At 39.8% G+C, this 16480-nt stretch overlaps 1 protein-coding gene and 1 pseudogene across 1 annotated transcript in view; both read right to left on the bottom strand.

Annotated features, from left to right (window-relative positions):
* Positions 1–5522: 5522 nt before the first annotated feature.
* OR9Q1 (olfactory receptor family 9 subfamily Q member 1) overlaps positions 5523–16480 on the bottom strand; it is a 157736-nt gene continuing 146778 nt past the window's right edge. Inside the window, exon 3 of the mRNA NM_001005212.4 lies at positions 5523–7708. Within this exon, the coding sequence (NP_001005212.1) occupies positions 6762–7694 (933 nt within the window). The 5' untranslated portion in view covers positions 7695–7708 and the 3' untranslated portion in view covers positions 5523–6761. The remainder of the gene's footprint in view (positions 7709–16480) is intronic.
* Positions 15417–16049, bottom strand: OR5BL1P (olfactory receptor family 5 subfamily BL member 1 pseudogene; annotated as a pseudogene).

Raw genomic sequence — 16480 nt, 5'->3', positions numbered from 1 at the left:
TCCTTGAAGTCTCTGACTGGCTCCCCCAGGAGCAATCACTCCTACTGGGAAAAGAATTAGAAGGGAGTCTGGGGAAGCAACATAATTCCAGGCGGATCCCTCAGGAATATGGAAGAGGAAACCACCTTGCCCTTTAAAGAATGTCTCTCTCTTTGATTGTGAAGTGGATCCAATGGCTGACCCCCTGCAGTTCTACTATATAATTACAACAACCCTCTTATTGCTACCCCATATGAAATAGACTGTGAGGCCATCAAGGCCCTGCTTTCAGGAAGCTGTAGTCAAACTTAAAACAACTGGCTTATTTAAGTGACTTCACTGAATCATTCTATAATGCATACATAGGCTAAAACATTACATTGTACCCTATAAATAAGTAAACACAATTATTATTTGTCAATTAAATTTTTTAATTAAAAAACACTATCAGAATGATTATTAAGATGGTTCAGTCACTGTTTGGCCAGTCCCAGAAGAGAAGCAAAATGAACCTCAGAGTATAGATAAAAATTTCATATATTGTGAGTATTAGAGCCTATAAAGCTGAAGTAAAAGAGGTTTAGAGATTTTTTTTCTAAGAGCTATAGATCTGAGCAGAATTTGGAAAGGAAAATCCCACAGGAAAATCCAACAGCAAAGACCAACTTAGCTGCTTACTGTATGCCAATTCACTCTTCTAAGAGATGATAGATGATGATAAATCAGATGATAGATATAGTTGATAGTAGATAGATAGATTCATAGATATATGATTAGGTAGACAGCTGATAGATGATAAATGGATGATAGATAATAAATAGGTAGATGATAGAAAATAGATGATAGAGATAGATGATAGATGATAGATAGATAGATAGATAGATAGATAGACAGATAGATAGATTCATTTAATCCACAAAACAATTCCATGAATGAGGTACCATTATTATCTTCATTTTAAGGAGATGAGAAAATTTAGCACAGATTGTTGAAGTGGACCACCAATAGTCCCACAGTAAGTGGTAGAGCTAGAGTTTAACCCAAGTGGTCTGTCTCCAGAAGGTGCACTCCTAATTCCTGTAGTATATTGCAAACTCTCATGAAGATGTCGCTGAATTCCACATTTGGGAATAATTGAGGGGTTCTTCCTTCTATGTCTGTACCTTCTAGCTATGTAGCTTCTAGCTTTTCAGAAAGAAGGGAACTCAGCTAACAGATGACACCTAAGTCTCAAAGTGAATAGATTGTGGTAGAAAATTCTTGGGGCACTTGACCAGGCCCTCGCTCCTTCTACGAAGTATCACCATGGCCACTGGTGAAGGGCTGGCCTTACCTTTCTAGCCATAGCCGATTGGACCAGAAAAAGACCCAAGATGACTTTATTTCAAGGGATAATCCTCTCTTCTTCCAAAAAGATCTTTTCTTGAACTACTTTAAGTGTTTCTTATAGCCAAGAAGTCATGACTTGTGGCCTGGAGGAACCAGGAAGTATGTAAGGAGAACATATCTTCAGCTCTTGCCCTGAAATTCATCTTCACGATCTTTCTCCATCCAGACTTAGGTGGATCTCATGCCAATTCAAGGCTGAGGAACACCTAGTGCCTATAAATTTGCTTTAGAAGGACTTTGGAAGGACTTATCCTACTGCAAACATTCCCCTCTCAATTCATCATTGCTATCCCTGCCCTCACTTTACATATTGTAGAACTGTGGAATTTTTTTTAGGCTCTCATAAGATGCTGGAACTGAAGGGGAAATTAGAGGTCAAATAACCCAGGCTTTTCAATCGACAGATGAACAGGCTGAGGCTTCCAAATAGGAAGATGTTTAATGATTACATCAGTAGTTAATTTGATTCCCAGTCTGTGACTTTTTAATGCCAAACTTGTTAATCAGCACTTTACCCAGTGGTCGCTTATTGCTCTTAAATATAGAAGGGGCCTCAAATAAAGATGACCAAATAATTAAGTGCATTAATCTTAATTCATTTCTATGCATATCTGTGCTTCCTCCAAATCCTCTCAGAGGTGTGCAATCCTGAGGTAAGTGTCCTCCATTGCTTCCCTTATAAGTTTTCTCTAAGTGTTTTCAGAGCCTTTATGTCTGAATTTTCCAGAATGATGAAGCCAGAAAGAACTCTGGAATCCAGTGCATCTTCTCATTTTACAGATGTGGAGAATGAAATCCCTAAGAAAGAATGACTTACAGTCCCTGGGTTTCTGCCCAGCAGGTAACATGGCTTGAACCCATAGATGAATTCACTACATGATTCTCAAAACAAGGTGAGGGCAGGAAGGGATGCAGCTAAGTCTCAAGCACAACTGTGATGAACAACTCCCATGACACCAAGAATTTCTCTATTGTCCATAATTGTTTCTGACTCAATGTTCTTTTCTTCAACAAAGTAGAAAAAAATACCCACTAGTTGTTTCTACTATTCACATGTTCTAGCTTTTTTGCCATAAAGAAGATGAAAAGTCACGTTTTTAGGTTCCAACTTTGAAAAAATCCCAAGGAAGAACCCAGATGTTATGTGGCAAAAAAATGGGGTACCAGGATTGGCCCAATGTCAATCAGTTTCCAGTCAGTGAAGACCAGAAAGATGAGATCTACAGGGAGATAGAGTACTTGCGTGACCCATATGGTTAGAGTAAAGAATGGAGCATTTCCCAGATAAGAGAGAATGCTGTTCTGTGAACACAAAAGAACAGATTTTTACCACACAATGGTAAGAAGAATCAGAGAAATTCCCACTGCACCTGTGCTTCAGGGAACCCCACAGAGATGTTGGCTGAGCAGTGGCTGAGGGAGGCAACAGGTGGCAGAGTGAAAAGCATGTCGGCCACTAGAGTCTAAACAGTTTCTGTTTACATCCTATCTGCCATGAACAAGGCATTGGGAAGACAATGGCTGCTTGATAATTTTTTAAGCTTAAGCCTGACGTCTAGGGCCAATGTAAGATGCAGAAAGTTTGTCTCTGGACACTCCATCTTCCTTGGCCTTAGCCATTCCCATAATTCTCAGTTTCCAGGTTCTCAAGTGCTCTCTCTCTCCATCGTAACCCATGCTCTGAGACAGGTCTCAGACATCTCCCTCTGAAGGAGATGACTGCCAATGCTTTATGTGAAATCTCTTCTCAAATAATTTAAAATTTAACAGGGCTAAAGCCTAGATAGAAAGAATCTGAGACCACAGAGGGACTCATAATTCTCTTAATCAACCTGCTCCCCCATTTTTCAGATGGAGAAATTGAGATACAGAACAAGGAAGTTGTTTTATGGAAGGACACTCAGCTGATCAGGGACCATCACCACCCAACATTTCCTATCATATCCTATAGTCTCCAAGAAAAGGTCAGGCCAACTAATTTAAAGCAAAGGAAATTTAAACAAAAAATAGGGATTTAAGATGGACTCAGGTCGTTCTTGGCTACTCAAAAATCGTGCTATATTGCTCATATCCACTGCAACCAAAATAAAGTAATATCTGCCAACTCGCACTTACCAGGTAAGAGCTGTGGCTTTTCTTCTCCCCATCTTGTACCAAGTAGTGTGGTCCCCAGAATATCTCATTCATGTTTGGGGCAGAAAATGGTGGGAGGCCCTCCTGAAGCCCACTAGAAAGGTCATGCTACCAACAAGTCCCTTCTTTGACAGCTCCTGAGGACCTGGCCCCTGATAGTGAAGGTCTGCTTGAAGGGCACCCTGTGTTGGCAGACACTTGAGAAAGGTAATGGGAGGAGCTGGCCTGAGCGCCTGGTGTGAGACCAGGCAGGATGCAGATGGATGCTACCATTGCTATTCCCTTGTGAGCTGGATGTCCAAGGTTTCTCTTCGGAAGACCTTGTTATTCTCCTTTTAGGTACTATAGCCACATTCAAAACATCCCAGTAGATGGTGTTTCCTGGTTTGAGTAACCTGGATTTCCCTTAAGCAGATTTCCAAAAGCAGATTTTTTCAAGCTTTATTGAGGTATAATTGCTATGCAAAAAAAATACAGTTATTTAATATACATTTTGGTGAGTTTGGACATACACATATCATATATCTGTCACCTCCAAAAATTTTCTAATGTTCTTTTGTGGGTTTTCTTTTTTGTTGTTTTCTGGGTTTGTGATTTTTGGTTTGGTTGCTTGATTGGTCTTTTGGTGGTAAGACTATTTAGCATGAGATCTATCCTTTTAACATGTTTTAAAGTATTCAATATATTGTTAACTATAGATATTATGTTGTACAACAGGTGGCCAGAACTTATTCATCTTGCATAACTGAAACTTTATGCTGATTGAACAATTCCCCTATTTCTTCCTCTCCCCAGCTGAGGCAATCACCATGCAACTCTCTGCTTCTATGAGCTTGACTTAGGTTGGTGAAAAGGTATTGTGGTTTTGCCATTGAAAGTAATGGCAAAAACTGCAATTCCTTTTGCACCAGCATAATATTTTTGGACACCTCATATATAAATCATGCAATATTTGTCCTTCTGTGACTTGCTTATTTAACTTAGCATAACGTCCTCTAGGTTAATCCATGTTGTCAAAAATGGTAGGATTTCCATTCCAGAATTAAAATAACTGAACAAAAAGAACCACAGGTTTTTTATTTGGATGAGTTCAACACAAGGTATAGCAGAATGTAAGGAAATATTCACACCTATTTACAATCAGGTAACTTCCCTATTGTCAACTTTTCTTAAAAATGTCATAATTGAACCCCGACTCATCTTCCATACCTAAATGGAAAGCATTTTTTAACTTTTCCTGAGCTCTATTTATAGACTAAAAAGTAGATGATGTTCCGTATACAACATGGGGTTTCATGACCACTAGTTCCTACAGCCTTTTCACTTAGCCCTTCCTTCTTGAACATAAATCTGCAGATACTTGTTTAGAATTTAATCAGAAGGAGGCATTCATTTTTTTTCTTCTACCTGGCAACTTATTCTCTTAGTAGCCCCTTTCCATTCATCGTGTACTTCCTGACTTCTGGTAGATTCTAAGACAGCAAATAATTCCTTAGTATACTGCTTTTATTCACACAGACACAACCAGGAGGGAATTTCATATCACTGATTCAAGCTTTCCAACATTTCTTTAACATTTTTTACACAACCTGTAACACAATTGACACATATACTATTTATTAATCATCCCCCTTAGTAAAGCTATAAATTTTAAGCCTGGGTTTTCACAACCAGACAAAACACTATTAAAGGGATAAAATATTTCTTGTGAAAATTACAATATGTACTTTAAAATATTCTGTCTTCTAGAATAAATATAATGTCTTTAAAGATTCAGATGTGTTTTATTTTACTATAAGCCACCTTCCATTGAATATCCTTTGGCTACCTGCATGCTGAGTCTCCCACCTTTCACATATCTTCTTCCCATTTAAAGTCTTGTAACTGGAATTCTGTGTTTCACACAGCATTTTTGTCTGGCTGAGTTTAAAATCATCCTAGGTTTGTAAGATACCGTCACCCTCTCCCCACCTTTCCCTTTCCACAATTGTTTATATCAATCACATACAGGGTACCCTGGATTTTTTGTTGTTGTTGTTTTGGTTTTGGATTTTTTTTTTTTTTTTTTTTTTTAGTAATCCAGGAGACAGGAAAAGAAGTTTGAGTTCCAGGTATAAAAATTTGTTTAAATGAAAAAAAATTAATAGATGGGGCCTGCTCTCTTCCAGTGCCTTGGGTTTGATTGAGACAAGTCCCCTGTGATTAGAGAAGTAAAGATTAAGAACAGACAGATTTTGTGAGGCTTTGGATGCAGGCTGAGCTGCTGCAGAGTGCAGGGACCCAGGATAGGCGAGGACCACCCTCCTGCCTATCGCCATGTGGAATGCAGCAATGTTCTGCCTCCCTGAAGGAAAAAGCTTTCAGAACACAGAGAGTCAATGTCTATGATACAGACACTGAAGACGCCATTATGGGCAGTGGGAATGGTATAACTTTGCTAAGTGGATTTTTAGTCATGCCATATGACGAGAGAGAACTGTAATAGGTAGGAAGAAAAAGAACAGGGCATATATCCAGAGGTGATAGCAATTGACAGACATGTTATTGTAGGCATTGTTAAAAGTTTGTGTGAGGCCTTCTTGAGAACTACTACCAGAATATTAAGGCATACCTTGAGTAGGGTCAGCTTTGCTAATTGGATCATCAAACGACCATAGTTTGATCATTAAAAATAAATGTAATCTAAATATTGAATCCTAATTGATGATATAATTCTGAAGTGCATAGAAGTAAAGGGTACTAATGCTGATGTCCGGAACTCACCTTGAAATGAATCAAAAAAAGGTGGTTTGATGAGTGAATTGATTGATGAATAAACTCACGGATAGATTACATCTATGTAACCAAGTAAAGACAGCAAATATTAGCAATTACACAATCTCAGTACTGAGTATAGGAAACTTCCTACATATTATTTTTAACATTTCTATATGATGAAAATCTTTCATTAAAAATTTTGCAAAAAAAATTACTCTTATAATCACAGACAGGTGAAGTGTGCCATATTTGGATTGCACAGGCTTTAATTTCAAATCCTTTTGTCACTTGTCCTGGGAATCAAAACTCCCACTCCAATCTCTTTTCAGGTTGACTTTTCCTTGTCTTCCTTCCTCTCCCTGGAGCTAAAAGTTCTGGTTCTTTTTTATACCTAGTACCATAATATATTCATTTAAACATTGAGCATGCTATAAATAATGAGCGTCCAGAATTCTGACACTACAGAGTAGGTGGTTCTCGGGATTTTCCAAGTTTGGAGATGGTTAGGACAACTTGGCTCTATTGAGAATTTTTCTCAGGGCCTCCTTCACTTCCTTGTTCCTCAGGCTGTAGATGAGGGGATTCAACATGGGGATGACCTCTGTGTAAAGCACAGACACTACCCGATTCTTCTCCGAAGACTGATCTGAGTTACCTCTCAAGTACATGAAGATGAGGGTACCAAAGAAGAGTGACACAGCAGTGAGGTGGGAGGTGCAGGTGGAGAAGGTCTTGGCCTGGCTTCCAGCAGGGATCCCCATGATGGCCACGATGATAAACAGGTAGGACACCAAGATCACCACCATGGAAGCAGGGATGACAAAAATGGCAAACATAATAATCAGCACTTCTTGAGTGTAGCTCTCCCCACAGGTCAACTTTAACAGAGGAGGGAGGTCACAGAAAATAAAGTCAATCTCACTGGTTCCACAGAAGGAGAGAGTGAAGGCTGAGACTGTCCGCACCAAGGCACTGATGAGACCAGCAACGTAAGCCCCAGCCACAAGACTCAAGCGGGCCTGCTGTGTCAGGATGGTGACATAAAGCAGGGGCTGGCACACAGCCAAGTAGCGGTCATAGGCCATGAGGGCCAAGAGGTAGCAGTCGATGGAACCAAAGAAGGTGAACAGAAAGAACTGAGCAGCACAGCGTGTGTAAGATAAAGCTGCCCCATGCTCCAGCAGCACTGCCAGCATCTGGGGGACAGTGATAGATGAGTAGCAGACGTCCATGAAAGCGAGGTGACTCAGAAGGAAATACATTGGAGCGTGGAGCTGGTGATCCATGAGGATCAGAATAATCATCTCTAAGTTCCCCAATACGGTGATGAGATACATAAATAAAAACAAGAGGAAGAGAGGGAGTGCCCATTCAGGATATTCAGTGAATGCAATAAGGAGGAACTCGGTCACCAAGGTGAGGTTCATCTCTGCCATGACACCAGTGGTCCCTGAGACATGTAGAATGGGAAGCAAGTTAGGAAGGTGCAAATAGGATTTACCTGTATTTGTAGTTCACATTTATTGAAAATGTACTGTGGACAAAATATGCCAGGTGTGCCAGGTGCTGTGGCTCACACCTGTAATATCAGCACTTTGGAAGCGAGGCAGTGGGATCACTTGAGCCCAGGAGTTCGAGACCAGCCTGGCCAACATGGTGAAACCCCATCTCTACTAAAAATGCAAAAAAAATTAGCCATGCATGGTGGTGAGCACCTGTAATCCCAGCTACTCGGGAGAGAGGCACAAGAATCATTTGAGCCTGGGAGGTCAAAGCTCCCATCTTGGCAGTGAGCCGAGATGGCACCACTGCACTCCAGCCTGGGCAACAGAGTGAGAGCCTGTCTCTCTCTCTCTCTCTCTCTCTCTTTCTTTCTTTCTCTCTCTCTCTCTATAATATATAAAATATATATTATGTATATTATATGTAAATATATATTATATATAAATATATAATATATAAATATATAATATATATAATATATAAATATATATATAATATATACATATAAAATATGTCAGGTGTGATGTAGGGCTTCAGAGATGACTGATCTTAGCTCCTGCCATCAACGAAGTCCTGTGGCATAGAGTCATCTTAGCATGTTGACAAAACAGATACAGGTAAACATTCTCAGAACAGGGGTGCACATTCTCGCACCTCTATTGCTAAGTAGCTGTGTGAGCTCTGCAAGCCAGATAGCCATTCTGAGCCGAAACTTCCTTATTGCTCCACCAAGTGTTGACACATGGTCTCTTGCCTACCATTGTAATATCCGTGTCAGGACTCTATCCCTTTTTCTCCGTGACCACAACTCCTCCCTGATATCAAATCCTCTCCAACTGTCACCTGGATTAGAACAACATCCGTGGAACTAATTATTCTCCTTGTCTATATATTTGCTTCTTCCAAATTCTTCCTCCTCACTGTGGTCAGAGTGATAATTCTAAGACATTAATTTGATCACATCTGATTCCCCTGTTAAAAATCATGCCACGGTGCCCATCATGGAAAGGATATTTTTGGAGAGTCCTTGTGATAATTTAACGCATCCATATAATTTGTAAAGATCAAATCAGAGTAACTAGATGTCCACCACCTTAAATATTTGTCTTTTTAAAGTTCGAAATACGCAAATTATTTGCCTCTATTTTGAAATATGCAATAGATTACTGTAATCTGGGATGGGATAATATTTTGACTCCTCCACATGTTGGAAATGCCTCTGTGAGATCTCCTCTGCTTATTTCTTCATGTTCCTTTCTTGCTTCTAAATCCTGATACCCACAGCCACACTTCACCCTCTCACGCTTCTCTCCAGACGTATTGAATTATTGGCAGCTTCTCTAATCTCCCCCAGGTTCTCCTACATCTCTGCACTTTCAACAGGACAAACCCCTTCTGCCTAGAACACCTCTTTTGCATCCTCCAAGTCCTAGCCAACTCTTACCCTACCTTCAAACCTCAACCCAGATCGCACTTTCTACAGGAAAGTTCTCTCCTGTCTGCCTTCCCTGGTCAGAGCACGTGCTCCTGGAGCTCAGCACATGGTAAAGGTTTAATATTTTCTCATGGAATAAAGTTACCAAATAATATATGAGGCACCTTGCAAAGGGAAATGTGCTATACACATGTTCAATGAATTACTTTTATTTTTGTGAAAGTGTTTAAAAACAGAAAATGCCCGAAGTCTAAGAACTCACTAAAATTGATCAACAGTCACGAAGCCCATAAGCCATTCTTGGGTTTATACTTTTTTCCTCAACCTAACAATGTGCTTACTTAGCAGAAAGCTGTTACCTTCATTAGAGCCTCTTCATTTACCAAAAATGCTTTTATAAGAACTGATATTGTCCTTAATAATAGAAAACAGATAAACACTATTCTAAATTATTTATATATTAACTCATTTAATCCCCACAACCACTACATGAGGTAGGAACTTTTCTTATCCTCATTTTACGGATAAAGAAACCAAGAAAGAAAGGGCTTAAGTATCATTCCCAAGGCTGCACAGCTCAGAAGTGGTGGAACGGCCATTAGAAACAAAACTGTACACAGAATCTCTGTTTAGTTTATAGCAAGATTTTACTGCATCACCTGATTATTCCAACAGCCTCTACTCAGAAGGTGTCCATCATTAATTAAACAAACATAAATACCAGCTCTGCAGTCTATTAATATCTGAAGACTGATAGAGGCTTTTGAGCTAACAGTAAGTTCTTTGGCAGAGTTGTAGTGCAACAGGATAGAAAGGACATTGGATCACCTTTAAAGCATAAGACTTTGGCAGCTATGATTGTGTCAGACTGACCTATTGGGAAAAAAATGATAATTAAAGGAAATTGGATCTGGTGATCTGAATGGAGCAGGAACCAAGAAAACCAGGTCAGTTTCTTCACCTGAATTCCACATCTTTACCTGGCAGGTCCTCTTCTCTCTTTGTCCACTATTTTTCCTTAATGTCTAAAAGGTCATTTCTCACCCACTGCTTGGAGAAATCCTAAGGGTGTAGGGGCAAAAGTATTCTGCTGAGCATCAGGAAGTCTGGGTGGTTCTTGTTGCCCTCCCAGACTTGCTCAGTTATAATGCTAAGCAAATCTCCTGGAGCCACAGTGTCCTCTTCCCTCCTACATTCCTCACACACATGCACACACAATGTGTGCATCAATATGGGGACAATAATAACTTCACTGCCTGAAAGTCAGTCCCTGGACCCTACCATCCTCAAGATCCTTCTAGCCACTTCTTTTCCGCCAAAGACACCGTTTTATTCTTTGTGTTTCCAGATCTGCAAAATCTGATTAGGTTGCACTCTTCACTGGTTTTTGTTCAATTCCAGGCAGGGACAGCAGAGATTGGGGAACAGCCTCTTCCTGTGGGCTCCCAGCTCCAACACAAATCTCTTTGGAGAAGACACTAATAATTGCTACAAAAGCTCTGAGGTCTCCAATCAATGGCTAAAGTGTTCTCTAAGGAAAGGCAATTATTGCACATGTAGGTTTCTCACTAGGCACCTACATAGGAGGAGAAAAGACTTTCTTCCCAGTCACGGTTCTCAAAGCCCTGCCATGCACCCACTGAGTGGGGTTTAAAAGGCCTGAATCCTAGTTCTGCATGGTCCTTTGAGGAGTTAGATGTATCTAACTTTAATTTCTTCCATCAGAACAATGTCAGAAGTTATGCCCATTGCCACCTTCACCACTGTGGCCATATCTGGAAGAAGAGTGCTTTGGAAGCACAGGACTTTGCTCCACATTACCCAGGAGGGCCAACTGGGTACCCTACACAGAAACCTCAGCAAGACACATCATGTCTTCTGTTTGCCCTCTCTGGGAGTCAAGTGCCTCATTAAAATCTTTCCCTTTTTTTTTCTTTAAATGCAAATGAACACATGGAGAAAACAAAAGCCTGGGATGTTGCTCAGAGGAGAAATTGGCAAGTTTGTCTTATTGGCATAGCTTTTGCCAGCTCTCTACATCTTTGACACAATAGTATTGTTTTAGCCACAAATTCATAGGCATTTTGTTGAGTCATTGAATTTTGACATGTCTCAATTCAAAAAAAAAAAGGAAGATAAGGAAAAACAGAATAATTGCCCTCTTTGACAATTATGATAACCAAGAGAAAATGGAACCATGTGGTACATTGACTCGTCGCTGTGCTAAGAGTTCTAAAAGAGAGCAAGAGATGTGAAATGAAACAAAAAAAAACCACAATGCCTACCTATGAGGAACATGCAGCCTAATAGGTGAGATTCTTATCCATTCTATAAGATAACAAGTACTAAACTCCTAAGCAAGGAGTAGGTACAGTACTATGGGAATAGTAGTATTATGGGAATACTATTCCCTCTACTATGGGGATAGTAGTAAACAATCAAGAAGCAGGTAAGTTACTAGGGCAAGATTACTTACAGGTAGGGTAAACTGGGGAGGGCTTCGCAGAGGAGGTGGACTTTGTCAGTTCGGACAGAAGAGAGAGTGGGAGAATGATGGGCAAAACTCTTTAGGAAAGGGGGTCAGCACATATATGGGCAGGAGAGCCCAAGGGATACTCCAGGGACAGTGAGTGACATTGCTCCTGACCTTGAGACTGTCCGCTACCATCTGACTCCACTGCTTTCTCCACTGAGAAAATCTTTTGTTTGTATTTCTCTTTTCCCAGTTCCAAAATCTTCCAAATCCCTATCCTACCCAATCCACTGAGAGGCTAAAAATTTTTATATATTGTTGTGCGTAATAATCTAAATCTCCTTTTTTTTTTTTTTTTTTTTTTGAGACAGAGTCTCACTCTGTCGCCCAGGCTGGAGTGCAGTCGCGTGATTTCAGGTCACTGCAACCTCTGCCTCCCAGGTTCAAGCAATTCTCATGCCTCAGCCACCCTAGTAGCTGGGATTACAGGGGTGCACCACCATGCCCAGCTAATGTTTTTATTTCTAGTAGAGTCGTGATTTCACTGTGTTGTCCAGGCTGGTCTTGAACTCCTGGGCTCAAGTAATCTGCCTGCCTCAGCCTCCCAAATTTCTGAGATTACAAGCATGAGCCACTGCGCCTGGCCTTAAATCTTTAAGCTCTAAAGAGTTTCAATTTAGACCTTGCACTGAAAGTCCTTAAATTTCATTATGAAGATATCCTTTAAGATACTTTCCTCAACAAAGGGAAAAATTTTCTCTAATAGAGAAAAATTAAGTCAAACAGCAGTAAACTTTATTTTTTTTTAACTTCTAACATACTAGATAAGGATTCAATGCTAAAAGAAGTCTGAGAAGCTGGGTTAAATGAAGTTAAACAACTATCTTTACTAGAAAATTTTTTGAAGATTTTAGTATGATAATATCCTTTATAAATCTCCAAAATGAACTGTATATTATGCAACAATTCTCAAAAGTATTTGACCATGGGGTACTTAGTTAGCTCTTGTGTTGTAATAAGCACCCCAGGTTGTAGCACACAACAATGAGCATTTATTCTCACACTCATAGGTCTGTGGCCAGACAGGATTTAGCTTATTTAGGCTGGGCTTGGGCTCGGCTAACTTGACCAAGCTGCAGCTTGATTCACAATCTGTTTCATGTGTCTCTCTTCATATTTGGGTCAGCAAGCTATGCAGGGCATATGCCTCTAAAAATGGCAGAATCACAAGCAGACAAAGCCCCATTACACAAGCACATTTTAAGTCTTTGCTTGCATCGGGTCTACTCATGTCCCACAAGACAAAGCAAGCCACATAGTCAAGCTCAACATCCCTGAGCAGGGGAGTTTATCCTACTCACAGTTGGAGAGGAGTGAAGTTTATTTTATGAACAATGATCCAATATTCCTATTGTCCATAAATACTCTTATTCTACCCTCTCAAATCACATACAAAATATACTCTTCATCACCCTAAGCTGCCCAAACCCCGACCTGTAAACTTCAACAAATTACATCAAGATCAAAGTCTAGGATCTTATGATCTCCATCAGGTCCAGGTGCAGCTTCCCTTGGTTTACAGAATTATGAACTACAAAGACAAGTCATATGTCTGCCCACAAATACCCAAAATGTATTGGTGAACAGGCAGAATAACCACAATAAATGCTCCCACTAGAAAACAGGAAGAACGGCAGGCACATGGCAACAGTGGGTCCACAGCAATTCTGAAACCCTCCTGGTAAAATGTTGCTATGCCCTCCCAACCTGGGATAGAAAATATGACTTGTTAGGAATCTGCTCCTTTGGCTGAGGGGGTGGGGTTCAGGGGGCCAGGAAGAAGCTCTCAGCTCAGAGTTCCCTGTGGCTCTTAGAAAATACCATGACACTATTCACAATAGCAAAGACTTGGAACCAACCCAAATGTCCAACAATGATAGACTGGATTAAGAAAATGTGGCACATATACACCATGGAATACTATGCAGCCATAAAAAATGATGAGTTCATGTCCTTTGTAGGGACATGGATGAAACTGGAAATCATCATTCTCAGCAAACTATCACAAGGACAAAAAACCAAACACTGCATGTTCTCACTCATAGGTGGGAATTGAACAACGAGAACACATGGACACAGGAAGGGGAACATCACACACTGGGGACTGTTGTGGGGTGGGGGGAGGGGGGAGGGATAGCATTAGGAGCTATATCTAATGCTAAATGACGAGTTAATGGGTGCAGTACACCAACATGGCACATGTATACATATGTAACAAACCTGCACATAGTGCACATGTACCCTAGAACTTAAAGTATAATAATAATAAAATAAAATAAAATAAAGAAAATACCATGACCATTATGATTTTTTCATACCCAAGAGTACTTTAATCCTAAATGTAAACAGCTTTTATTTTTTTATTTGTCCCTTCCAACCAGTAATTTTTTTTACCACTTATAGTTTACTAGACAGAAATCATTATAATTTTTGGATAAAAGTATTGGGGCATATGGGGAAAGTAGGGATAGTTAATGGGTACAAAATAATAGAATGAATAGACCTAGTATGTGATAGCACAACAGGGTGACTACAGTCACTAATAATTTAATTGTACATTTTAAAATAATTAAAACAGTATACTTTGATTGTTTGTAACACAAAGAATAAATGGCTGAGATGATGGATACCCCATTTACCCTGACGTGATTATTATGCATTGCATGGCTGTATCAAAATATCTCATGTACCCCATAAATATATACACCTACTATGTACCCACAACATTTTTTTAAAAAAAATCTTACAAGTATGAGTTCTGGGTCAGATTGCCTGCGTTTGAGTCCTGGCTCCATCACTTTCTGGAGCCAGGGATCTTGGGAAATATGTAAAATCTCTTGGTATTTTGACTTCCTCATCTACAAATTGGCAATAATAATACCAACCTCAAAAAGGCATGGAGAATAGTAAATAAAGGGAGGAAATAAAAACACTCTTCACTAATGTACCCTGATAGTTAGTAATCAGGATGGTGTTTCCCATACAGTTCCCAAATTTAATCATTCTTCTGCTTCCTGGTCTGAATCTACACACATTCAATGACATCGTAGAGTTTATAACAACCGTTACTTTAAGATTGCTATAAAACTTTCTGTCTAGATTTTAATGAATATAGAACACACTAATAATAATTGTGATGACCACAGGAATAGCCAACATCCCTGTGCCCACTGAGTGCCAGGGAATATGCCATGCATTTCACATATAATTTCTCACTCAAGGACAAAATTACAAATCATTCAAACAAAATATAACATTTTTAATCATATAAGGAAATACAGGAAATATCCTCAGAGACAACAAAGCATTCTTTGTCTGGATGGCAGTACTCATAAATCTGTTATGCAATTGTCTCCTCATTAGCTTTTCATCCCATTTTGCTCAATGTTAATGTTCTAAGGATGTTAGCCTTCCCTGTCGCTGTCATTACATAAGGGAATTTCAAGTATTTATCAATATTTTCCCCCATTAAAATATGGAAATTCTTTGTTGATATTCAGCCTCTGTCTTACATTGCTTCCCCTAGAGCTGGACTTTATGGAAAACTTCTGGCTGGAAAATTCTCTACCTCTGGGGGCCTGGTTCCATGCCTAGTTTGCATGAACACCTGCAAATGATAATGAGAGCCCAGATGGTTAGTACAACAGAGGAGGTTGTTGAATGTTTTGCAGAGCTATGAAGGTAATTAGAACAACTTGGCTTTATTAAGACCTTTCCTCAGGGCCTCCTTTGCCTTTTTTTCCTCAGGCTATAAAATTGGAATGGTCAGCCTGGTGTTCACTACAGTCTAAAACATGGTCACGGCCCTCTCCCCTGTAAGGGACTTGCCTACTGCTGCACACATAGATCAAAGCTGTAGTCTCAACAATCAACCGAACTGCAGTTCTGCATGAGGCAAAGGTAGAAAAAGGTTGAGGAATCTTTGCCTAGAGACCTGATTTGCAGGTGTTTAGATGGCCTTGCTGATGAACAAGTCAGAGAACAGGATCAAAACTAGTCTGGTCAGAATCATATACAGAGCAAAGTGAAAAATCAGCAGCTGCTGGAGGAAGCTATCACCCAATTCAGGGTCAGCAGCAATGGAGGTCACAGAGAGTGAAACCTATAGATGAAGGCACAAAAGGAGAGTGAGCAGGTGAAGTGTATACATTGGATTACATTTGTCAAACCCTCTACAATATGCAGTCACCAGCTTCTGCCAGACATCTTGAGAGTTGTGATGGTGTCATAAAGCAAGGGTTGACAGTCCCACAAAATAATCATAGACACATCTGAAAATCTATTACTATCTAGGATTTCCAAAGATCAATTTCAGTCAAATAATATTCTAAGTGCTAGTTTCCCATCAATGAGTCCCAAAACCACCACCCCTCAATATTCCATGTTCCTTATAGCCCTTGTTTGACCTCCATAATTCAGAAAGCAGTGATTACTTGTCACATGCTTTTCTTTAAGTGTGGGCTTGATACATCATGGAATAAAGGAACTAATTGAACTTCTAAATAGATTTTTAATGTATATTAGTCCATTTTCATGCTGCTGATAAAGACATACCTAAGACCGGGTAATTTATAAAGAAAAAAAGTTTAATGGACACACAGTTCCACGTGGCTGGGGAGGCCTCACAATTATGGCAGAAGGTGAAAGGCACATCTTACATGGTGGCAGACAAGAGAGAGAATGAGAACCAAGCAAAAGGAGTTTCCCCTTATAAAACCATCAGATCTCATGAGACTTATTCATTACCAAGA

The sequence above is a fragment of the Homo sapiens genome, chromosome 11, assembly GCF_000001405.40.
Source record: "Homo sapiens chromosome 11, GRCh38.p14 Primary Assembly".
NCBI classification, from domain to species: Eukaryota; Metazoa; Chordata; class Mammalia; order Primates; family Hominidae; genus Homo; species Homo sapiens.
The sequence above is the reverse complement of the archived record's forward strand: the minus strand, read 5'-3'. Positions and strand labels throughout refer to the sequence as shown.